The sequence below is a fragment of the Homo sapiens genome, chromosome 4, assembly GCF_000001405.40.
Source record: "Homo sapiens chromosome 4, GRCh38.p14 Primary Assembly".
Taxonomy (NCBI): domain Eukaryota; kingdom Metazoa; phylum Chordata; class Mammalia; order Primates; family Hominidae; genus Homo; species Homo sapiens.
In genome coordinates this window covers 148,657,246-148,684,672 of record NC_000004.12, presented here as the reverse complement: position 1 = coordinate 148,684,672, position 27,427 = coordinate 148,657,246, and the positions used below count along the sequence as shown (strand labels likewise).

The 27,427-nt window shown below is 37.6% G+C and overlaps 2 long non-coding RNA genes across 3 annotated transcripts in view; one reads left to right on the top strand and one right to left on the bottom strand.

Annotated features, from left to right (window-relative positions):
- LOC107986195 (uncharacterized) overlaps positions 1 to 27,427 on the bottom strand; it is a 496,338-nt gene that overhangs the window by 348,186 nt on the left and 120,725 nt on the right. The window lies entirely within an intron of this gene.
- LOC105377483 (uncharacterized) overlaps positions 4,024 to 27,427 on the top strand; it is a 64,875-nt gene continuing 41,471 nt past the window's right edge. For both annotated transcript variants that reach the window (XR_007058326.1, XR_939336.4), the window contains exon 1: positions 4,024 to 4,341. This is a non-coding gene — a long non-coding RNA (uncharacterized LOC105377483). The remainder of the gene's footprint in view (positions 4,342 to 27,427) is intronic.

Here is a 27,427-nt window from a genome sequence, read left to right as displayed (position 1 = left end):
AGTCCTTTACATTCATGTTTTAAAATATTCTTAATTTAAGCTTTCAAATATGGCTGTTTCTTATCCACAACTATATGGACGAAATGAAAATAGAAGAGTATAGTTTCATGGGATAGTGCTTCAGAAATCAGTAGCACCAGGCACTTCTGGAAGTAGAGAGGAAGGCAGGTCTGAAAATAGGAAGGTACAAGACAAGGTCTGTCTTGGGGAAACTGGGTCCCCCTGAATGTTGCGGCCCTTAGGCAAAGCATGTGGTAGTTTTCACAATAGGTAAGGTCACAGTCAGACATTACAGCAGAAGAAAACAAACCAGCACAGAAATGAATCAGCTGATACAGCAAACAGCATAATTCACAACCTAAGAGTTACAGGAAAAATCAACCTATGAGTGTTTTCAATGCTGAGTTAAATCAATGAAATTATATAATTTGTAAAGCAAAAATAAGACAAGCAGATTTTAAAAAGCAACTAAACAGAAATACTAGAAATAAAAACTATAATCAGTAAAATAAAAAATCTTAGTGGACAAATTAAAGAATGGTTTGGGCACAGGTAAAAAAAGAATTAAGGAACTGTAGAACAGATATAAGAAAGAAAATGACCAGAAATATATCTGGAATCTCTAAGCATAAAGATCATTGCACAACTTCAATACTCAGAAAGGCAGTAGGATACACAGACATGCTGAAAGTAAATTAAATATGTAATAAATTATCTAGTCAGATTGATTCTTTTCTAACACCATGTAATATTACATATTCAACAACCACCAGGTTATTTATTGTATCTGGAACAGAACTATATAAATTGATCCTAACATCTAATATTTCCATGAAAGAGTTATTTATATTTTGCCTAATATTAAAAATAATAAACCTTCATAATGATATATGATGATTACAAAATCATTTCAGAACTTCAGGAGGATATATGGTTAAGTCAGGCCGCCTCAAAATCACACAGTGAACATAACTTAGAAACTTTAGGCAACCATATAAGTAATCTTACACTTTGTGATTTCTAGCGTAAATTGTGAAGAAATCATAATTAAATTTGACCTTTCATGCTGGAAAAACTTTAAAGCACACATGATAAAAGAAAGATTTTCATTCATTTCCTTAGACATACAACTAAGAAAATTTGGGGGCCAGGCGCAGTGGCTCACACCTGTAATCCCAGAACTTTAGGAGGCTGAGGCTGGTGGATCATGAGGTCAGGAGATCGAGACCATCTTGGCTAACACGGTGAAACCCCGTCTCTACTAAAAATACAAAAAAATAGCTGGGTGTGGTTGTGGGCGCTTGTAGTTCCAGCTACTCAGGAGGCTGAGGCAGGAGAATGGCATGAATCCGGGAGGCGGAGGTGGCAGTGAGCCGAGACTGTGCCACTGCACTCCAGCCTGGGCGACAGAGTGAGACTGCATCTCAAAAAAAAAAAAAAAAAAAAATTGGAATCAGAGAGAAGGAAAGGGACCTGTTGTAGTCATTTGGACTTTAGATAGGGGCCGAGGTTCCCAAGTGATTTCCTGGTTGCAGAACAGGGCTACATACACACCTGTGGGATGGTGGTATCAGTTACAGAACTAAAGCATCCTCATGCAGCTTCAGGAAGAACATAAACTTCAAGAGCAACTTGTTGGAAACACACGATGACCCAAAATGACAAAATGACAGAGATGGGAACAGAAAGATCCCAATTCAAAGGTAAAAATAAAGGAGGGGCTGACTCCAGCCCTTTTTCCACCAATATCAGAAATGCTTTTCATATCAACATGAAGTTAGAGAGGATGTAGACATTTTACATTATCTAACATCAGTTTTAAAAGAAAACACTGGGAAATGTTCTCCAAGACTAAGTGTGATGCAATAATAACAAGTATAACAACTTCTTGCATTTAGGTAACATGATTAGAATTGGAATTCCATTTTGTCATCTCACTTCCCGGTGGATAGGAGGGGCATGCTGCTTGCCACCATCTTACAGGGAAAGAAGCTGAGAAACCTAGTGGTTAAGAGACTCGTCTTGTGTTGCCCAATGAATGAACCAAGCAGCACCTTTTCATTTAACCATTAATGTGGTTGTTTGGAAATAGCTCTTGCTCCTAGGAAAGATTGGAGGCAGAGCAGGAAAACTCACTTTTGTAAGACGAGTTCTCAGCTGGAGTTGGGACAGTCTCATTCTCTCTGTGTCCGGAACCGAACTCATCAACTTCCTGCCAGAGTTCACAATCTATCTAGCTGCTCAACTTCGACCTCTCCTTCTCTCTCACTTCTAATCTAGCACCAACTCCTGGCAAGTCTACTCTCTAAATGTCTCCCAATACTTCTCCCCACCCCACTGCCATCGTCATCGCTAGAGACCCATGATCTCTTGCCTGGATTACAGGCATCCCAGCCTTCAGACTCGCCCTCTCCAATCTACTTTGTAGTCTGTTGTGACAGTAATTCTTCTAAAGCGACATCAGATAAAGACTGTACTTACTTTTCTATGTCTCCCTCAATGAAAGTTTGACCTCAGCATAATGCCCACTTTGTGAAATGGCTTATAAAGGAGCCCTAGTTTATCTATCTGTTTTCCTCTTCCATCCCTTGCTCCCTTACTCACTATGTCCCAGTCACACCACAGTTTGTCTGTTCCACCTGCCCTTTCATCCTTCAGAACTATGTCCATGCTGTTGCTGCTGCCACTAACACCCTTCCTTTCCCCAGCCCTTATACTAGTCAATTCCTATTCACACATCAAAGCTCATCTTAGCTGTCATTTTCTCCAGAAACCCTTGTAATACTGTATTTGCTCTAACTTGCCTGTATTCCCAAACTGACTGTATATATTATAAAGGGAGGGTATGTGTCTGACTCATGTACCACTGAATCCCCAGTGGCTTGCAGTGCCCAGTAAATATTTCTCTTTATTTAGTTTTTAAACTTGTATTGGAATATAGAATAGCTACAAAACATGCCCAAATCATAAGAAAATAAGTCAATCCATTCTTACAAATTGAATACACTCTGTATCTAGGACCCATATTAGGAAACAGAACATTGCTTATACCCCAGAAATCCCCTCATGTGTCCCTTCCAGGCAATACACCACCATGGATAATCACAATCCTGATTTATAACAGCATACATTAATTGTATTTCCTTTTACTTTACAAAAATCATATAGTACAATTTGCTTTTGTGTCTGAATTATTTTGTTCAACATTAGGTCAGCAAGATTCATTCATATTGTTGCATGTGGTCATGCATTTTCCTTGCAGAAGTGCCCAATAATTATTTATTAAGTGAAGATAATGAATGAAACAACAATCACTAAAATCCAAAAGAGGAGAAAAGTCTCCACTTGTCACAAAATGAAGGAAATGGGTCAACTCCAATCTTCAACCTGAATCCCCCAAAGTAACAAGAGATATAAGAAATGGTATGGTAATATGTGTCCCAGGACCCTTTCCAATGTTATAATAGTAAACTGAAACATCAGCAGCAATAGGATCACTCATTTTCTCTTGTTTTATCTTTAAGGTGTGTCACTTCTATAATCAGAATCACAGAGCCAGGTGCAAAGGGCATCATTTGAATTATAGGATGGTGACTAGAACACACCTTCCTGGATGTTACAAGCAAGGAATACGGACGTTAAATTCTGACTTACTTCCTGTTTTTGTGCTTTACACTATCCCTTTTAATATGCCAAATGGTCTATGAATCCCATCTGTCAGGAATTAAAGATGTACAATGCAAGTAAAGGAAGTAGCAAATTAGAAAGTGATAGAACAGGGGCAGAATACAGGGACAGAGGGAGGATGCATTGAGAACATCAGGCAGGGATCCTTGAAGGATTGTCTTGGTCTTCAACTCTGGCTTCAAATGAAAATCACTTAGAGGAAATGCTGATGGCTGTGCTCCATCCCAGACCAATTGTTTCAGGATCACTAGGCATCAGTATTTTTTCAAGCCTCCCCAGGTGGTTTGTACATGCAACCAGCTTTGAGAACTGCTAGTTTAAAGCAAAGACCAGAGGGAGACAATAAACAGACACACCTGTAGTTGTTCCCAAACTTTATTATAGGGAAAAGTCACCTGGAGAACTTGTTTAAATTGTGGATTCTCCCAAAACCACCCCACCCTAGCCCCAGAAGATCAGATTCAGTTGATCTGGATGAGCCTAGGGCTCTACATTTGCCACAATCTCCGCAGTGATCCTGAGGGAGGAGAAACCCCAGGGAAAATATGGCTAATGAGGATGAAAAAACAGACAAGAGGTGGAACTTCAATGAAGAGGAAAACTCTTCCTAGCCTTGGTCGAGAGCGAGCACACTAAAACTCTGCCCTGAAAGAGGTAACAGACTTTATTTTTTTCTTAAAATGAAGCTTTGTATAGATAACAAAAAATATGAGTACTTATTAAAATTTCATTTGCCCTTAAATTTAAATCTCTCTGAAATAATGTGAATATACTGAATGGGCACCAATTTGCCTCTTCACCTTCCTTTCCTTTGCACAATAGTAAACCCACCATGCCAGTCCGAAAGGGACCCAGTATTGAATAGTTTCTAAAATGCATAACTTATAAAATGGCAAGCTCTATAACCATGAGTGTGCTTTAATAAAATGATTCCATGATAATAAGCATCCTTTAAAATTAACAGATAGCTTTTAGGAAAGCCAGTGCAAAGACTTTATTTTTATAACCAAATGTGGAGGATACATTAAATGGCCTCTGAAGTTCCTTCAATTGTAAGAGATGAAGAATTCAATTTGAGAATTCCAGGGGTTTTTTCCCCTTGACACCTGCTAGATCATTCACTCATCTGCTTCCACATTCCAAGAGACTGCAATGTAAAAATTAATACAAAGAGCAGCTACTACACAAGACATTATTCAACAAAATTTAAGTGAAGGGTACATCCTTGAGCATGGGAAGAGAGTCCCAGCCAGCTAAATAAGGACCAGTAGGCAAGTCACATTGCCGACCCCTGAGTGGACCTCAGCACATGGCTCGGCTGTTCTGGATCCCAGTTTCACATTTTCCTAGCCTATAAAATGAAGTGACTAATACCAGCTACCATACACTGAGCTCCTGTGTACTAGGATTTTTGTGTATACCTTTTTGCAATAATTCTGTGAGTTATTATTATCCCCATATTATAGATGGAGAAATTGAGGCTCTAAAATAGTTAGGTAACTAACCCAAGGTCTAGTTCTTGAGTGGCAGAACAAGAAGCCAGTTTCACTATTCTTAAAGCCCTAAAGTTCCGGGCCCATATCTGGCTCATCATGGTAGCCCCTAGGTCTTGCCCACGCAGCACAGTGCCTGGCACACTCAAGACATGTCTTCAGTCCATGAATCAACTCAGCTCCGAAATCATTTTCTTTATCCTTCCAGTTATTCTATTATATATGCCTCAAGAAATGGATACTGGCATGAATATCTCAAAATAAATTTCCTAGACCCACGATTAGAAACATTTGAAAAGCTCAGTATTTGGTTTCAGGAGAGTTAGAGGGGGAGGATTGCAAAGGTTTTGGGTGGCAGTTTGCTGCAGTAACCAGAGAATAGGATGGAAAGAGCCTAGATGGACTCCCTTCCTTCTTAGTTTTGTGACTTTAAGGCCAGTTAGCTAATCTTCATTTCCTCATCTGTGAGAGGCAATGTGAATACAGTGATCCTTGTGGCTCATTCAAACTCTAAACTTTTATTGTATGCGGTCCTTTTTATTTTAATACAACGCTATCCACCACCCGTATTTCACATGTCCCTGAACATTCACTCACCTAGGAGAAAATCTGTCTGATGTGCACAGGAGTGTCTGTAAACAAAGTTGACTATTCAGTCATTTTGCATATTATATTTATCTGAGGATCTGCAGTTATTTTCTACTGTATTTTTAGTCTGTAGGTAGTCTCTTTTTCAGATGACAGGGAGGGATAAATCAAATATTATATTTAGAGTGAGCAAAATACTCCCATTTCACTCAACACTCCTTCAGTGTTCTTTTTACCAAAATCAACCCACAGTGCATTTGGAAAACTATAGAAAACTGTGCAAATAGAAGTTTTGTTACACAGCTAGCACGTTCAGGAAATGGGAAGGGCCAGTGAGTCAAAAATTACTACAGATTTAGAATGTTACACTTAATAATTATGGTCATGGGGTAGCTACAGCATAGTTCTTAGAACAGTCAGATAAGTAGACATGGAGATCTGGAGCTGCCTACAGACCACCTGGGAGAGAGGGAATAGTAAACCAAGCTTAGGTTAGAGGTAGCTTTTTTTGCAATTGGACTTGAGAAGGTAGCAATTAGTTCTCTATCATCCGCTGGATGTTCTCTTTTTTTCATTCCACTTCTCCTTTCACTCTTTCAGTTTATCTGCATCACACACCTACTATATGCACAAAGTAATAAAGACCAAAGAAACCATAGAAAAAGGGTCAGCTTTTTTGGAGGGGATGTGGGGAAGACACATACACGCAATCAAGTAGCATAAAATAATACCAGCACTAAAAACTCAGACTTTGGAAACAAACATATCCGGGTTTTAATCCCAGCTCTACTAGCCATGCAAACTTGGGCAAGTTATTTATACTGAGTAGAGCTTCCTCATCTGCAATAAATAAATAACTGGTGATGACAATATCTGTTTCATAAACCTGCTGTAATGACTTAAATAGATAATATGTGTAAGGGAGGTTATGGTGCCAATTATATATTTGATCCTTCCAAAAGTGGTAGCTGTACAACGTGAGCAGAGATGAGAGGGTAATCCATTTTAACCAGGGCTGCAGTTTAGGCTTCCTAGATTCTTAACAGGCTCCACTGCCTTTGACTCCAAAGACCATTCTTCTTAAAACTCACTTGATTTTGCTGCAACTACAGTAGACTGATTCAGTGTTTCTCTCTCAAACTTTTCACAAATCCCTTTGATTCTTTGACTCCTATCTCTCTTGTCTCTTTACAACTCTTCCCAAGTTCTAGTCCTCGATCCTTGCATCTCCTGTCTTAACCATATTGCCTCCCGTGGGTCACCTGCCACACCTGTGTTTCCGATGCTTTCATCTCTACCTTCAGAGCTGACTGGAGCTCCAAACTGGAAAGGTGAAGCATGCAAAAATCCAGACACAGCAAAAGCCATAACATGCTCCAGAGAGCAATGTGCTGGGGGTGGGGGGTCCAAGAATGTTTGAGATCATCCCAAGTACAGGTCCTCTTTGCTAAGGTTGGCCTCTCCTGTCAACTTCCCTGCATGGAAGGAAACACTGCCATGAATATTTTCCTGAAGCATTGCTTTTATTTGTTTTCTTTCCCTCTTCTGGGTCTCCCTGTTACCTACTATCTCAAACATGGCCTTCACTGCAGGGTCCCTTCTGTGTACTCAGCCATATATTAACCACCTCTCCCCAAAGCTACTCTCATCAAGCCATCTCCTTGCTGACAAATTTGGTAGCTTGTTTTTTCCAAAGCAATAATACGTGTAAAAGTGTCTAGTACTTTGCCAGGCACAAAAACAGTGGTGAATAACAGCCCCGTATCAATCCCAGGTTGATTTGGGGAGACCATAGGAACAGTTTTGTCAGTTGTATGATCACACAGGTATGGTGGGTGGGTGTCTGTTTTTGCCATTTCCAAGTGGTGACTCCACATTTTCCCTGCTTCCTTCCCACAGAAGCTCCCAGAGAGGGAGCCCTCTTTTCTTTCCCCTTAAAAAAGAAGACTTCTGACTTGTCTCCTCATAATCCCAAGAATCTCTAGACACAAGATAGAACCCTAAGAGGGGGAAAACAACTATCACTCAATTGTAGGTCAGGATATTTATAGAGTGTAATATACAACCTTAATGGAAACCTGTGGGAAGAACAAGCAATATTCGAAACAGTGACTTGATCCTTTTTGTACAACAGAGAGTTTTTTTATTATTCCGTAGTTAAATCTGGGTCTTTTGGTTGGAAGGACAGTGAGATTTATGCTTCCCTGGGAATTATATCTTCTCAACTACAAATCTTAAGACCTAGCTGGCATTCACAGAGAGGGAGAACTCATCCTTTCACTCACTGAATAAATATGTCATGTTATGTCCACAGCCCTAAGGAAAAATTTTCAAGAAACTTCTATTAAAAAGACTATCCAAGTATGTGCATTATGGAAATAATCAACTTCTGGTAAAACATAAAAGGAGAAGTATATAGCTAGCAGGGCTGAAGCAAGCAGGAGATTGTATGTATCCAGAGATCTCTCAATATCTCAATAACAGATATACTGCTATTTGAACTGGAAAGATGGGTAAGATTTTTGACAGCAGGAGAAAATTTTATAGTCAGAGTTGCATGAGCAGAGAAGGGACATGAAGCCTGCGTGGGGGAACAGTGAATATTCTGGTCTAACAAGGATGTACAATATATTTGCAGGAGTACAATAAGACAAGGCTGGAGGGGGAGGTAAAGGTCAAGACATGAATGACCTTAATTTTCAAGCTAAGGCATTTGGCTGTAGTTTAATGGTAAATGCAAACCCACTGAAGGATTTTAACAGCCATGATCTGCACTGTGCTTTACGAAGCTTAGTCTACCAAGTGATTTTAAAATCTTTGCCTATGAATTAGTTAAGGTCCTCACCATTGTTTGTGGGAATTATTGGTATAGTAAGCAGTCTCCCATCCAAAACCAATTACATGGGGGTATACACAAATAAGTAGATGGTTTGTTGTGTGATATCTTTCTTGCTTAACCTACCAAACTCTGTTGTAATCATGTATTTACCTAATTCTTCCTTCTATTAGACTGTAAGTTCCTTGATGGCAGACCAGTACCTCACTGGCCTGTGTATCCTTGCTTCTAAGCACAATGTTGACACACAATAGATTGTGATGTTTTGTTCATGCAGTGAATGAATGAGAGCATGCAGGCAAGAGGACCAGACAGGAGGATATTGGAATGAACCAAGTGAGAGATCAAGGCTTGAGCTAAGGTTGCAGCATTGGGAGTAGACATGAAAGACACTGCAAAAATAGGCTAAGTCCTGAAACACTGTCTAAAATAATAGTGAAAAACATAATCCCGTTTCCTCTTTTGTGAGTTATCGGCCGCCATAGTAAAAAACGACTTGTAGAAAATATAAGAAATATTTTTCTACACCTGCCTCATGTATGCACACTTAGGTGCGCATTGCATACACAAGCATGCATGAAAGCACACACACAGCATCCTTGATTCCTGGTTTTACTACAATTAAAAAACAAAATAAAAGAATAACAATGACTCCAAAGAGCAATGGGAACCAAAAGAAGCAATCAGGTACCAGGTTCTTTCAAAACAGACAAGGACCTAAGAAATAGTAATGATTAATAAAACATATTTACAAATAGTCATGATGGAGCCACTGATCTAATCTTTTCACCACCAGAAAAGAAAAAGGTTGGGTTATCATCAGTAGTGGAAAAATGATGCTAGAATGGCTAAAATCCAAATACACTGACGAGAAATGCTGGCAAGAATGTGGAGCAACAGGAACTCTCATTGATTGCTGGTGAGAATGCAAAATGATAAAACAACTTCAGAAGACAGTTTGGCAGTTTCTTACTAAACTAAACATACTCTTAGCATATGATCCAGTAAATGCATTCCTTGGTATTTACCCAAATGAGCCAAAACTTATGTCCACAAAAAAGCCTGCACATAAATGTTTATAGCAGCTTTATTCATAATTGCCAAAACTTGGAAGTAACGAAGAATGTCCTTCACAAGGTAAATGGATAAACAAACTGTGATACAGACATACGATGGAATATTATTCAGCAATAAAAATAAATGAGCCATCAAACCACAAAAAGATGTGGAAGAAACTTAAATGCATATTGCTAAGTGAAAGATGCCAATTTGAAAATGATGCATACTGTATGATTCCAACTATATGACTTTCTAAAAAGGCAAAACTATGGAGACAGAACAGGAGTTCAGAAGGAAAGAGGGAGGGATGAATTGGTGGAGGACAGGGAATTTTTAGGGCTGTGAAACTGTTCTATGACACTGTAATGGTACGTACACTTCATCATACATTTATCAGAACACAGAGAATGTAAAGTACAAAGAATAAACCCTAATGTAAACCATGGATTTTAGTTAATGATAGTGTATCAGGTAAGGTGTGGTGACTCACGCCTGTTATCCCAATACTATGGGAGGCCGAGGCTTGTGGATCACTTGAGCTCAGAAGTTCAAGACCAGCCTGGGCAACACGGCAAAATTCCATCTCTACAAAAATTAGCCAGGTACAGTGGCATATTCCTGTAGTCCCACCTACTTGTGGGGCTAAGGTGGGAGGATCGCTTGAGCAGGGGAGGTCAAGGCTGTAGTGAGCTGAGATGGCACCACTGCACTCCAGCCTGAGTGACCGAGCAAGACCCTGTCTCTAACAATAATAATAATAATAAAAAGTATAATATTGTCTCTTCAATTTTATCAAATGTACCACACTACTGTTAATAATGCAAAAGGTTAATAGCAGAGGAAACGATACGTGTGTGGAGGAGTTGGGTATATGGAAACTCTCTGTACTTGCTGCTCAATTTTTCTCTAAACCTAAAACTGCTCTAAAAAAAATGAACTTCATTAATTAAAAAAAATACAAGAGACAAATAGAATCAATTATATACTATTACATCACACTGTCCAAACACTGTCTGAAACTGATAATAATCTGTCAATCTGTCTCAATCTTGGTCTGAACAGGAAAATATAAACCACTGCAAGTATTTAAACCAGAGAAAATTTAATATCAAGAATTGTCTACATAGGTAAGGGGGAAGATGAGAAATCAAATAGATACAGACAGGCCAACTAGGATAGGAGGAAGCTGCTACTTCCCTAAGCTGAAAAGACAAAGAGAGGAAGACATGTTATAAAAGCCAGGCACTTGGGCCATAGAGAAAGCTGGAACTATAGCCACAGACAAGGCACTGACACCAAACTAGGTAACATCTGAGGAAGCGCAAGATGAAAGAAGCACCATGTTTCTCCACTCCATCCACATTTTAGTCTCTCATAGGTGCTGTTTATTAGTGAACCATGCTATCATCGGAGGCTGGACAATGGGCATCCAGCATCGACTGCCCCTGCGATGCAGACCAGAGTAGGATAAGGCAAGGGAAAGGATTGGGGCCATCTGTCCCAAGACTAGCATGCCATCACACACACAAATAATAAATATAAGAATAAGGCCTCTCGAGGCTAGCTAATCTGATTTTTAAAATGCTTTAACTTTGGCAGTACATTAGGAAAAAGAAGACAAGCACAGAATAGATATTAAGGCCCAAATTCGCAAAGTAGTAAGAGTCATTTACTCAAACTACCAGTCACTTCTCCCCAGCCTCCACGTCATTTCTTATACTCTTCTCCCCACCAACCCCCAGCCCTAGGAAGGGTGACTTGATTACATGACACCTGAGCCAATCAGAGTCTCTCTCCTAGGGAATGGCAGCCAAGGAGACTAACTGAAGACATTCTGCCTATAATGACAAGGAGAGGGGAAACAAGGAAAAATCAGACTTTCTAGCTCCCAGAGAAAGATCATGAGATGCACGCCATCTATTCAAGCTAGTTTTAGTGGGTTTCTGTTTATGCTAACATCATCCCTAAGATAATTAGCTATGAAAAGAGCTATTTCAAATTTTCAGATTGAAGCTTTTCCTTTACCTGTGATAACAGATAGGAAGTCTTATTATAGCTTAGCATTGCTTGGACCCAAATCATCAGAGTGCATATTGTATATGCTTGCACGGGATTCAGAATAACAGAGCTTGGACATTGGTTGCCATCAAAACAAAGTTCAGAAGAACATAATGAAGTAAAAATTAAGGCTACCGGCGGTCTCACAACCAATACAAACGTTTTCTAAGCCAGTTGTGAGAAACATTCAAAAGCACAGGTGCAAGGAAGATGTCCAGGCTGTAGGAGGAAATGTTGAAGCTATCCAAAGGCAATTTTTAAAAATTATTCACTGAAAAGCCCTATGTCAGTCTTTTTTCAAGTGCCGGGGCTTAAAAGGGGCTGTTATTTATAATATAATAAATTATTTCAATAGCAGCTTATTATCCTCCACATTTTTCTATTTCACTTCCGTTAAAATTTTTCCCCTTCATCCACAAAAGAAATTCTAGAATTGAGGGGAATAACTGAGCCCCTCAGTGCCTATCATGTGGCTTCCATAGGGAGATGTATAGAAACACATGTTTGCATCTGTGTAAGCCCGTTAGGCCAGGATTTTCATCTGATTCTATCTTGGGGTAGAATATGACCTTACTCATTTGTATACTTCAATTTAACATTCAATTCCCCATAACTATAACATCATAAAAAAGCATTTATTTTAAAAAAGTCAAAAGGAAATTATTATTGGAAAGATAAAGTTGGCATGATTATGTGATGAAAGTTCAGACTGCTAGAGCAGCAAGTGACATGTTGTATATGTTGCAGCAAGATACATTGTATTTTGCTTTACAAGATATACAAGATATATTGTATTTTGCCCACCTGTGAACAGTTATTAAAACTATTACAAACAGTGCATATGCCTTTGAAAAACCAGACACACACACAGTGGATACAGCACATCTATTAAAACAAACTCACTGTCCATAGAGATGAGAGTAATCAACTGATTAGGATTAATTATATCACATCAGGAAAAGTTAATTTTTCAAAAAATGGTTCTCTTGTGCAATGGTTTTCAAACCTGGCTAATCAAGAGAGTTCTGTTCTTCAGTAGGTCAGGGATAAGCCTGGTTTGGGACTAATGACTTAGAGTATCTTCCAATTGTAGGCTAATTAATAGTAAATATATTAAATCAGGAAATCCTACAGAATCATCAGAAAATACTGGTGATGCCAAAATGAAATTTAACATGACTTAATCAAGCAATAGCTTCACCTTCTTCCTGACTGCATGGGTGTTTGGAGGTAACATATCCCCTGTTGAGCGCTGTTTACAAACTGCAAAATCTTATGCTTATAGAGAGACATAGAAATCATCTGACTGCTTATTTCATACATGAGGAAATAAAGTTCAGAGAATGTTGAAATGAACAAGTGCTTTGAGCATCAAAGTGAACATAACATACTCTAGAACTGAACTTCAAATATGTACAAGTCTGTCTTTTACCCAAAAGAGACAATGTTCTTTATATCCCATGAAAATTAGCAGCAGATCCTCAATCTCTTGTCAAATTGGAGATCTGTTGCTGGATGAGTATATATCTAATAGAGAAATTCTCCTTTTTATCCCTGTCATATATAACACTCCTAAAAGAACTCTTGTAAAAATAAGTACTATTCTTTTAAAAGCTATATTACTTTAATCAGATTGCATGTGTACTGCTTTCCTCTTGTTAGAAGAAAAATACCCAAATTAAGAGTTCTTCTTTCTAGAAGATCTTAACATAGAAGTTTGGTAGCTAAAGACATTTTTACACTCTCTGGACTGCATTTTAACAGGAAGCTATTTTTAGAACAGTGCAGTATTCTATAGTCTGTCAGGTATTTAGATCATCTTTCAACAGATGTCATTTTAAAAGTCACAATTTTGTATACATTATCTCATCTGATCTTATTTAAAAACCTTTGAAGTAGGATATTTTAATCATGTCTGCAGATGAGTACAATGAAATTTCAGAAAGCTAAAGCAACTTAGACTAAGAGACTCTGAGAAATGACTAAATCATCAAGGCCTACACCAGAATCACTCAGTGGGTGAGGGGAAGTTTAAAATTCAGATTCCTGGGCATTGCCCAGTGCTGCTGAATCAGTCTCTGGGGGCACAGTCCAAGAACCACTGAGATTATCTAATCATTCCCAAGCTACTTTCTGTGTCCTGGGGCTCTGCAGAAGTGGCTTAGGGACTGCTGGAGAAGAGAGCTTAATGGCTGTCCCAACTCAGCATTAAATCTTATATATATTAGGTTTCTACTTATGATTTCATTTGGGAAAAAAAAAAAAAACGTAAGGAGAGTGTTCTACTGTTTAAAAAAAAAAAAAAGAGGCATCTAAATTTCTCAAAGAACCCAGTCTCTTAAGGGACCATCAAACAACTCATCAGGACCAATCCAGGTTCCGATGCTTTGATGCCTGTTCCAGGGTTTTCCCCATATGCTACAGTCAATCTTTCTGCTGTCTAGAAATGTGCTCAGCCCAAAGCCTCTGCTATTGCAGAAGATGTACAAATACCAGATGCATTCACGTCAATATAAAATTAGCGTTTTAATGGAGCTTTTCAAACCATAGTATTACAGTTTTCACATGAACCACTAGGTGAATTAGGCAGACTGTGGGAACTTCAAAGCAGGAAGACGAAGACTTGATGGTTTGGGTCCCTGACCTTCACTGTTCCATCATTAGAACCCTACTCCAAAAGTAGCTGGGCCTCTAGCAGTATCTTCCCTCTTGCCCTGCTTCCCTGCATCCCTGTTCCCTTGAAGGTACAGAATGTCAAGGACAAGATCTTCTTTTCCCTTTTCATTAATTTTCTACAGCCTGTTTGGAACAAGAGGGTCCATGAGTTCCAGTGAAAGTCCACAACAGCACCAGGGTCAAGCTCAGTGTTTAGGTTGTCTTTTGCTAGGGATTCCAATCTAGGCAACTGAAAATAATTAGCTAGGTGGAGGAAATCCCAAGGAAAATAAGACTCACCAAATATTTCTACATTTCTATACATGCCTTGATCAACTACAACAAGCATTTGATAAGTGGAGTTCCTTGATTCTCTCTCTCTCTTTTTTAACCACGGATTCTTCACACCCCTCATTAAAACTGTAAATGAAACCTCCTTAGGTGTGGTGATGTGAAGCAACTGTATACATTGAGATCCATATTCTGTGACTGGATTGCATAAATATATTATAATAATAAGATCCAGCTAAGGGATTTACAGTAAATACCTTTAGAAAGTGGTAATGTGTATATATATCCACTTCTTATCCCTAGTTAAATATCTAAGTATCTAAAGTGCATATTTGTACTAGAGACATAAGGAGCTCTGTATAGCCTCCATCAGCTCCTTAAGCCAAGGGAGCCATGGCTTGTACTACGTGACCTCACAGGCACCTATGTGAGACCAGGTGCATCAAGGTAGACATCACCGCAACCTATGGGTGGGTGGTTTCTGTTGCATAAAGATACTCTGAAGATGAAGTCTTGACATGTAGGGAGACACTGCAATGACATTGAAGTCAGGAGGGAGTAGAAGCTTTAAAGAAACGGAAGAAATCTTCTAGAAGGAAGAAAGCCAAAACAGACACCCAGAGAAAAGCTAAGATTCCACGAGTGAGATTAAGAAAAAGCAGTTCAGAACTTTTCCTGCTCAATGAGTTTCCTCTTCTAGTTCCAGAAAACCTCTATCTTTCCAATAAGCCCCTATTGCCTGCTTTGTTAGAGTGGTTCTCTATTCCTTTCAACCAAAACAAAAATGCCTAATATTTAGCAAGAAGAAAGAAATAGCAAGAAATATTTAAATTGTGTTCAATTTTACAAAAGAGCCTTAAATTTGGAAACTCCTGACTTTACAGTGTTCAAATGATCTATTTAAAGATAAGTTTGAACTTTCCATTGAAATTAAATTATCTGAGTGTGGTTATGTTTTTGTATGTATTTGTGCGATTTTAAAAGAAAAAATGATGCTACCTGAAACAATAAAAATCGGGGCCATGATGCTTATTGGTGATTTCCATTAAAAAAATTAAAATTCACTGGCCAAAAATGTTTAGATCAAGCTTGTCCAACTCACTGCCCGCAGGCCATATGTGGCCCAGGATAACTTTAAATGCAGCCCAACACAAATTCATAAACTTTCTTAAAACATTATGAGATTTTTGCTATTTTTTTTTTAGCTCAGCAGCTACCATTAGTCTTAGTGTATTTTATGTGTGGCCCAAGACATTTCTTCTTCTTCCAATGTAGCCTAGGGAAGTCAAAAGATTGGAAACTCCTGATTTAGATTATTCAACTATTTTATATGTTTTCCCAACAAAATAAGGAGTTTAATTTGAACTAAATTAAGTCACCAGTTCAGCAGGTTGAGGGTTAAATGAAAGCTTAAAAAGTCTATGAGTTTTCCACATTCTTTTCTTCTTTAACTTTTCACTAATCTGATGTATCTGAAAAGAGTCTGCCCAAATTTTTCAAAATAAAATTACCTCTGGGCTTCAACCATGCATTTTTCAAGCATGGATAATTTAAATCTAAAGCAGATTATTTTGGAAGGCTTTGAATGGCTGAAAGGAAAGGCTTATAATGAAAATTACTTTCTCTGTCTAACACAGCATTGTATTGTAATATGGAATTCTCACATACTCAAATGTAGCTATTTCCTCATATGCTCCCACACAAAATAGAATCTAACTCAGTTTATTATGGTTCCAGGGACTGGGCACTGCAAGCACAATCAGAGAGCTCAGGATGTACTCTGTTTCTAACACTCTACATGCTCTGCTTCTAACACTCTACATTACCTGGACCTATGTTATGCTGATTCTAATTTTATTTCTGTGAAAAGTATGGAATTGATTAAATCGACGGCCACTTATTACACTTAAAATGACATTTGCCTTTTAGCTGAAATTTTCTGGAGGCTCATTTGGAGATGGGAGTCATTCAAGGTACACTATGTAGAGCAGCTAAGCTTTCTAATGAACTGTATTCCCTTTCCATACCATGGGCATAATGGGAATAACCCGCTTAGAGCACCAGAGAGGATGATTCTTTATCTACTATAATAAATAGGGACTACTATTCAAAATCAGCTCTAAGGCCACTTCCTGCACAAAATGATATGATTTGAACTCCAAATATACAAAAGGCATCATTGTTTCCCCTATCAACTGACACATGGAATAGAAATTGGAGTTTTGACCCACACAATGTTACAGCAAAGATTTGTAGTACCTGATAAAATGGCAACCAGGAGGGTTTGAGGCTCTCGAGTCTGAACTTAATCCTGGAGAATACCAACACATAATACCGAGGGGATGGTGGGTAGAAGGTGGTCATGGTAAGCCAGAGGTGGCTGAGGGTTAAAGGTGTGCAAAAATACTTCTTTAATTCAGAAGGAAGATAGGCTATAGAAACTTAAAAATTAATAAAGAAAAATAAATTTAGTTATGAGCCCTAATTGGCCTGGTGTAACCTCCAGAAGAAAAAAAAATGAAAGTATAACTTTAAAGTCAGAAGAAAATGCAACCAATAGAGTAGAAAGCAGGAAAAGAAGCAATAAAGCAAACACAGCATACAAGATAACGTGAAAGAACCTAAAACATTTTCACAGAAACTATGATCAATGTAAATGATGTAAATGTACAAGCCAAGAGAAAGACTTTTAGGTTGGACTAAAAAGGACAAGATTTAGCAGTACATTGAGTATAGAAGGTACACTAAGGGCAGTCAGATATAGGAAAGCTAAAAACAGTAGAACAGAGGAATATGTATCAAAAACGTAAGATGAAAGATGAACCTTAAGTTTCAGCCCCAACTTTAAAAGAGCCTGGATGTCATCAGTCCCATCCCCACAAGAAAAAGCCAAGCAAAGAGAAAATCAATAACTTTTCTTGAACTCATCAAAGAACTGAGTTTGCAAGGCAAACTGCCTTTCGAAAATCTAGAGAGACAAATCCAGAGACTCACAGCCAAGATCTACCTACCTGGGGTAAAATCCACTAGTGCCATAAACTGGTAGGAATACTTAAATGGCAATGTCAGTGAATTGCTGGAGGCTGAGTGTGTACTAGCTTGGAAGAAAGAATGGCCTGGGCCCCATGGACTTTACCTCAAGGTGAAGATAAACCACATTCTGGGCCATAATGTACATCTAACCAAACTTAAAATAATAAGAGTTATACAAAGTGTGTTCTCAGACCACAGTGGAAATGAACTAGAAATCAACTGATGAAAGATAACTGGAAAATCCCCAAATATTTGGCGGGTCTAACAGCAGAAGAGAAACACTAATCTTTAAGCAATATACCCAGAGCCCTCTCCATTAATAAAAGTCCTACTCTTATGAAGAAATACTTTATCAGGACCTTGTCCAACGGATGTGAGGGAGGAGATTCCTCTCACTTCAGCCCCCTTTAACCTTCTTAACTCACCTAAGTGGGTGACTATAGTGTGCGCCTGAAATCCCAGCTACTCATGAGGCTGAGGCAGGAGAATCATTTGAACCAGGAGGCGGAGGTTGCAGTGAGCTAAGGTCGCACCATTGCACTCCAGGCTGGGCAACATGGTGAGACTTTGTCTCAAAAAAAAAAAAAGAATAAATGTTTGTGAAGGTCACCAGCCAAAGACCCAGACTACTAAAAGATTACAATTGAACTGGAATATTATAGAATGTTCTCACGCCTTACCTCCAGACCTACAGGGTTCCGGGAGCATGATAATGGATTACAGATAAAAGAAATGCAAGAAATAAACTCTTTCTGATGAGGAATACTTAGAGAAGCTAGAAGTCAAAAGGGAGATAAAAATTAGGACATGAGAGGAAGCGGAAGTCTCTGGCATCTATAGCTACAGTAAACATTAAACAAAGACTAACTCCTACCCAGATGAACATAAATCCTTAAACTAGAGGCCTAGTTACTTAAATTTCTATAACCAATTACAACATGCCCAACTTTCAACAAAAAATTGCAAGGCACACTAAAAGGCAAGAAAAAACACAGCCTGAAGAGACAAAGCACTCATTAGAATCAGACTGAGATATGACATGTATTTTAGAATTAGCAGAAAAGGAATTTAAAATATCTATGATTAATATGTTGAGGGCTCTAATGGAAAAAGTAGGCAGCATAAAAGAACAGATGGGTAGTATAAGCAGACAGATGGAAGCTCTCAGAAAAAAATTAAAAATAAATGCTGTAAATCAAAAACACTGGAAGAGAAATGAAGAATGCCTTTGATGGACCCATCAGTAGACTGGGCACAGCTAAGGAAACAATCAGTGAGCTTAAATGTATGTCAATAGAAACTTTACAAACTAAATCGCAAAGAGAAAGATGAATGAAAAAGATGGAACACCCAAGAATATTGGAGCAATTTCTAAAGGAATTTGTAGTGAATTCCCATAATTTTATATTGCCTTGGCATCCATTTTGAATATAAATTGAATTTTCTCATACCAAAGCAGGGCTTAGTCACTGTGAACACAGCTTCCAGTTCTCTACCTCCTATCAGTTCCTCAGTGTGGTCGTTCCAGACATCTGGCCTATACAACCACCTCCTGGTGACCACATGCCCATGGGACACCTGGATAGTACTTAGTTGACTCACACCACTGACCCCTACATCCCATGTGGACTATGCAGATATAACACAATGGCCACCTCTCAGTCACAGTGTGACCTCCTAGAACTTACGTCTTCTTCTTTTAAACCCATCAATTAGAACTTCCCTCAGGAAATGAGGTTGGATAATGCCTTGGACCTCAGTAAAGGCTTCAATGCACAGGTTCTTCTCTCTTGCTCCCACCAAGCATGCTTGTCATGCTTGGCTCCGTATTTCTCCCATCAGACTTGAGAGATGTGGCACCCTCTTTTCTCTGGGATATGTAGGTAATAAGCTGCTTCTGTTATTGCATGTGTCTTAGTGAGTTGCTTCTTCTGTGTCTTACTTGACCAACGCACCAGAGCCTAACTTCTTTCCCGATCAGGTCTCTTCTAGAGAGTGGCTGTCTTAGTAGGAATAAACTGGACACAGGTCAGACAAGAGCCACAAGGAGATTGTCATTAAAAACAAGTTTCCTGTGAGAGTGTGAGAGGGACACCTGGTCATAGGTCAGACATTCAGGCATTAGGCAATAAGCCAGGATACCGACGCATAGCATGAAAGGCACATTGTGGACATCCACAACCAAATCCCCTATAGTACCATCAGGACAGCGCTAAAGTTTATAGCCATTTTCCAGAAAGAGGCCTCAAGAACAAATCAGAAGAAAATACCACAGACTTGGGTTACAGAAAGAGAACAAAGAGAAAGCAGAGCAGCAAAAACATTTGAAGTAATAATGGGATCCTCGGAGAACACAAAGTAGAATAAATATCAAAAACACCTATAAATGTTAAAATGTTTTCAAGCAGAAGGAAATTCAAATATAAATAAATATAAACATATTCCCATATAAATAAATGAAGAGCATCAGAGAAAAAATAAAGGTAAAATTTTTTTTTTTTTTTTTGAGACGGAGTCTCGCTCTGTTGCCCAGGCTGGAGTGCAGTGGCGCGATCTCGGCTCACTGCAAGCTCGGCCTCCCGGGTTCAGGCCATTCTCCTGCCTCAGCCTCCTGAGTAGCTGGGACTACAGGCGCCCGCCACCATGCTCACCTGATTTTTTGTATTTTTTTTTTTTAGTAGAGACAGGGTTTCACCGTGTTAGCCAGGATGGTCTCAATCTCCTGACCTCGTGATCCGCCCGCCTCGGCCTCCCAAAGTGCTGGGATTACAGGCGTGAGCCACTGTGCCTGGCAATAAAATATTTTTATTTGTCGTAATTGATCTGAGAATAACTGTTTAATAATGGTAACAACGTGTTGCAGCATATATACAAATGAAGCGAATGATAGCAATGTCACGGAAGGAAAGCAAGCAGGACTAGAAATACTCTGTTATTAAATTTCTGCATTGTATTTGAAGTAAAACAGTGTTATTTACAGGTAGATTTAGATTACTTAAAAATGTATATTATAAAACTTAAGGTAACCAGTAAAAAAAAAAAATTAAGAACTATACTTTTTATACTATGAGAGAAATTAAATGGAATCATATAAAATGTTCAATTAAAACCAGAGGAAAAAAGAAGTCTCTGTCAACAACTGTAAAACAGAAACATGTTTTATATAAATCCAAATATACCATAAATTGCTTTAAATGTCAATGGTCTAAATACAGCAATTAAAAGACAAAGACTGTCATCACGGATTAAAAAAACTATATTGACTCATCCAAGGGGAAGCAGAGGGCAACTATACATTGTCTACAATAAGCCCACTTTAAATATAAAGACACCAGCAGATGAAAAGAAAAGGGTGGGAAAATAAAATGAGTCAAAAGAAACTGGAGTATCTATATTAATTTCAGACAATGCAGACTTCAAAATAAGGAAGATTAGAGATAAAAAGCAGCACTACATAATAGAAAAGAGATTAATTATCCAAAAAGACATAACAATGCTAAATGTGCATATACCTAAAAACAAAATGTCAAAACACATGAGACAAAAACTGATAGAACTGAAAAGAGTAGACGAATGTACAATTATATTTGAAGAATTCAACATCCCTCCCATCATTAATTGATAGTTCAGGTAAGCAGAAAAAAAAAAAAGATATAGTTGACCCAAAATGGCACTATCAGTCAACTTGATCTTACTGACATTTACAGATCACTCCATCCCTCAACAGCAGAATACACATTCTTCTCATGCTCACATGGAGCACACACCAAGATAAACCACATTCTGGGCCATAAAGCACATCTAACCAATCTTAAAAGAATAAGAATGATACAAAGTGTGTTCTCAGACCACAATGGAAATGAACTAAAAATCAATTGATAAAAGATAACTGGAGAAACCCCAAATATCTGGAAATTAAACAACACACTTTAAAATAGCACATAGTTAAAAGACATCTCAAGAGAAATTTTAAAATATTTTTAACTAAATGAACATGAAAATACAACTTACCAAAGTTTGTGGGATACAGCAAAAAAAAAAAAAAAAAAAAAAAAGGTGCTCAAAGAGAAGTGTATAGCATTAAATGCGTACATTTTTAAAATGAAGAAAGATTTAAAATCAGTAACCTAAGTTTCTACCACCAGAAATTGAAGAATATTTAAGCCTAAAAGCAAGCAGAAGGAAAGAAATTATTAAAATTGAATCCAAAGCCAATAAAATTGTTATCTGCATCTGATACAATACAGAAAAAAAATGAAGTCTACAAAATTGAAAGGCCTGGCACAGTTGCACAAGTCTATAATCCCAGCACTTTGAGAGGCAGAGGCAGGCAGATCACTTAAGGTCAGGAGTTCAAGACCAGCCTGACCAACATGGCAAAACCCCATCTCTACTAAAAATATACAAATTAGCTGGGCATGGTGGTGCACACCTGTAATCCCAGCTACTCAGGAGGCTGAGGCAGGAGAACCCAGGAGGCACTTGAACCCAGGAGGTGGAGGTTGCAGTGAGCTAAGATCACACCACTGTACTCCAGACTGAGTGACAGAGATCAACCCCATCTCAAAAAAGGAAGAAGTCTATGAAACTGAAAACAAGAAAACAATGGAGAAAATTAATGAAACCAAAAGCTGGTTCTTTGAAAGGATCAATGAAATGAATAAACCCTAGCCAAGCTAACCAAGAAAAAAATTGAAGCGAATACACAAATTACCAATATCAAAAATGAGGCCGGGCGCAGTGGCTCACACCTGTAATCACAGCACTCTGGGAGGCCAAGGCAGGTGGATTACCTGAGGTCAGGAGTTCGAGACCAGCCTGGCCAACATGATGAAACCCAGTCTCTACTGAAAATACAAAAAATTAGCTGGGCGTGGTGGCACATGCCTGTAATCCCAGTTACTTGGGAGACTGAGGCAGGAGAATCGCTTGAACCTGGGAGGTGGAGGTTGCAGTGAGCCAAGATCGTGCCACTGCCCTCCAGCCTGGGCAAGAAGAGTGAAACTCTGTCTCAAAAAAAAAGAAAAAAAATGAAAGAGAGGTCATCACTACTGACCCCTTGGGCATTAAAAGAATATAGGAATGCTATTAACAGTTCTATACTCAGAAATATGATGACTTAAATGAAATAGACCAATTTCTGGAAAGACACAAATGACCAAAACACACAAAAGGGGAAATAGATAGCCTAAATAGCTCTCTATATATTAAATACATTCAATCAATAATTAACAACTGATCACTTTCTAAAAAAGAAAATACCTGGCCCAGATGGTTTCACTGATGAATTTTACCAAACTTTTAAGGAGGAAATGATATCAATTCTTCATAATTTCCTCCAGAAAATAGAAGCAGGAAGACTACTTCTTAGCTCATTCTATGAGGTCAGCATTACCTTACTACTAAAATTAGACACAGTCATTTATAAGAAAGGAAAACAACAGACCAATATATCTCATAAACACAGACATAACAAATTGAATTCAACAATGTATATCAAACATTATACACTGCAACCATGTGGGATTTATTCCAAGTATGCAAGGCTGGTTAAACACTTAAAAATCAATCAGCATAAATCACTACATCAACAGATTAAAGACGAAAATTAATGTGATCGTATCAATTGTTGGAGAAAATAATTTGACAAAATTCCACACCTATTTATCATTAACAGTTCTTAGCAAAGCAAAAATAGAGGAAAATTTCCTCAATTTGATAAAGAACATATATAAAAACCTACAGCTAACATTCCACCTAATGGTGAGAAAATGCATGTGTTTCCCCTAAGATCAGAAACAAGACAAAGGTGTCTTCTCTCACTTCTATTCAACATTTTACTGGAAGTTTCTAACTAGTGCAACAAGGCAAGAAAGAAAACAAAAAGAGTATCAGTTGGAAAAGAAGAATAAAACTTTCTATTCACAGATGACATGATTGTTTATACAGAAAATCTCAAAAACAGACAAAAACAACCTCCTAAGAGAATAAAACAAAGTCACAGGATGCAAGGTTAATAGAAAATTGTTAATACAAAAGTCAATTGCTTTCCTATAATCTAGCAATGAACAATTGGAACCTGAAATTTAAATATATTCTATTTACAGCAGTACCTAACAAATGGAAATACTTAGGTATGAATCTAACAAAATATGTAAACAATCTATATATGAAAAATTGTAAAAAACTAATTTAAAAAGTCAAAGATTTAAATGAATTACATAATATAATTTATGCAAATAAAATTAGATTTAATGCAATCCAAATTATAAATTATATATATATAAATTATATGGATATAATGCAATCCTATAAAATCTCGGTAAGCCCTTTCTTACCTGATAGACAGACTGATTTTGAAGTTTACAAGGCAAGGCAAAAGATGGCCAATGGTGGGAGCCAGGTTTCTCACTGTTAGAGGTTACAGATAAGCAAGGGGAAGATTCTAGGATGATTCAGGAAGGACTGTGTTAGAGTGGGAGACATCGCTCTGAACTCATGTTTAGCATATAGATACAGATGGTTAGTTACATAGAAATATTTTAGATATATGTATATGCATGGGTTAGTAGTACACAGTTTCCTTGCTCTGTCAGCTGAGATGGCCTAGAAGCAATGATAGCCATCACTGAGAACACCTAGCACCCAATCTTGGTTCCTAATACCATTCTCCCATCAAAGGAACCAGAGATCCTTGGAGAAATGGTTAAGGAATGAGGCAGGAAATATACAAGATAAGCCTGGAGCATCTTATAGCTCTAGAAAGTAAGAAAGTACAAAAAAAAAAAAAAACCCTACAGTGATGGAATATGTCAAAGGGATACAGGAGCCAACTAAAAAGGTTCCCAATGGCCAAAGTTAAAACAATTTTAGCAACAAAATAAATAAAGGCATATTGGATTATAACCCAAAGTATAAATATCCCTCAGTCCATTATGATATGAGTAAATAATTTAATAAACAAATAGGAGATAATAAACAGAATTTCCATGCAGAAGAATTTCAAATAATGTATGTTCTTATTCCTGCCTTAAGTAAATACAACATAACTCTCCACTCCTTCAGTGTGGGCTGCATTTAATGACTTTCTTCTAAAGAGTACAGGATAGAAAGGGAGAAAAAGAAAGAGAAATTTTGCAGTGGAGAAACTTGACAAACACTACTATATGCCAAATGATCAAGACGAACAACATTGATAAGTCATATTGATGGTAGGTACCCTTGATCTGATGTAATAAGAATGGCCTCTTACCTTCGTGGTCTTCTCAGAAACACATTACTCAGTCTAATCATAAGAAAACCTCAGGTAAATCCTAACTAAGAGACATTCTACAAAATGCATGACTAGTAGTCGTCAAAAAAATCAAGGTATTTGAAAACAAGTAAGGTCTAAGAAACTGTCACAACTAAGAGGAACCTAAGGAGACATGGTAACTAAACTTGGATGAATTCCTTGATTGAAAAAAGGATATGAGGAGAACATTGAGGAAATCTGAGTAAAGTATAGACACACAAGGCACAGGCAACTGAAGAAAAATATACAAATTAGACTTCATAAAAATTTAAACTCCGCTGGGCATGGTGGCTAACACCTGCAATCCCAACAGTTTGGGAGGCAGAGGCAGGTGGATTATTTGAGGTCAGAAGTTTGAGACCAGCCTGGCCAACATGGTGAAACCCTGTCTCTACTAAAAATACAAAAATTAGCCAGGCTATAGGCAGGCACCTATAATCCCAGCTACTAGAGAGGCTGAGGCAGGAGAATTGCTTGAACCCAGGAGGCAAAAGTTGCAGTGAGCCAAGATCATGCCACTGCACTCCAGCCTGTGTGACAGAGCAAGATCCCATCTCAGAAAAGAAAAAATTAAACTATTTTTGCATCAAAAGACACTATCAACAGAGAAAAAGGCAACCCACAGAATGGGAGAAAATACATGCATATTATACATCTGACAAAATATTAACCTCCAGAATATACAAAGAACTCCTAAAATCCAACAACACAAAAACAACCTGATTCAAAAATAGGAAAAGGACTTGAATAGACATTTATCCAAAGAAAATATACGAATTGCCAATAATCACATGAAGAGATGTTCAACATCACTAATCATTAGAGAAATGCAAATCAAAACTACAATGAGATACCACTCACACCCACTAGGATGGCTACTGTCAAATAAACAGAAAACGAGTATTGGCAAGGATGCAGAGATATTAGAACCCTTGTGTACTGTAGATAATGTAATATGATGCAACCACTGTGGAAAACAGCATGGCAGTTGCTCAGAAGATTAAAATAGAATTACCTTATCATCAAGCAATTCCATTTCTGGGTATACATCGAAAAGAATTGAAAGCAGGGTCTTGAACTGATATTTGTACACCGATGTGTATAGTAGCATCATTCATAATAATCAAAATATGGAAACAAATCATGTATCTACCAACAAATGAATAGACAAAAAGACTAGTATAAACATAGAACAGAATATTATTCAGCCTTAAAAAAAAGAAATTCTGACACATGCTACAACATGGATGAAGCTTGAGGACATTATGCTAAGCTAAATAAGCCAGTAACAAAAAGACAAATACTATATGATTCCACTTATATAAGTACCTAGAGGAGTAAAATTCTTAAAGGCAGAAAGCAGAATGGTGGTTGCCAGAAATGCAGGGAAAGGGGGATGGGGTATTATTGTGTCATGGGTACAGTTTCAGTTTTGCAAGATGAAAGGAGTTCTGGAGATGGAGGGTGGTGATGATTACACAGCAATATGAATATTTTTAATACCCCTGAACTATATACTTAAAAATGGTTAAGATGACAAATTTTGTTATATGTATTTTACCACAATAAAAATATTTTATTTTAAAAATTTAAAAGTAAACACTTAAGATAATAAAAATACCACATGAGCTAATAAATAATTCATCACAATTACAAAATAAAGATTAACTTATAAAAATGAAAAAGGTTCTTCTATACTCCAAAACAAACTAGAAAATAAGATAACCATTTGTAATAGCAATAAAAACAATAAAGTATCTAGTATAAACACAACAAAAACAATAAAGTACCTAATAAAGGATGAAAAAAGACCTTTAAGGAGGAAAAGCTTAAGCTCTTTTAAGGACGTAAAGTGAGAAGGACTAAATAAATATATAGTACGATGTAATATTGTAAAGATACCAAAACTGCACAAAATGTTTTTTGCATTTAACACAATGCTAATCAAGATTCCAGTAAGATTTTTTTTTTGTAAATTTGGCAAACCTTTTCTAGTATTTTGATGGAAGAATAAAGATTTATAAATAGTTGTCAGGTTTTGTTTTTTCCTTTTACAATTGATTTTTTGTATTTATTTCTACAATAAAAATCTCTTCATTACTTTCTCCTGATTATGTAAAAGAAAAACATGGTCTTTGTAAGAAATTAGAACAATATACAAAGACATAAAGAAGTCAGAATTTCACACTTCTCTATAATACCCACCTTTGACACATAGTGATAATCTATTCTTTTTTTTTTTTTCTTAAGAAAAGGGACCTCACTATGTTGTCCAGGCTGCATAGCACACTGCAGCCTTGGGCCTGATTGGGCTCAGAGCAATCCTAGGACTTGGGCCTACAGGCCCATACATAATTTTACATAGGTATGATCATACCATACATTCTCTCTTTATTATGGACACCTTTTCTCCACTGTCTTCCCCAATTCCAT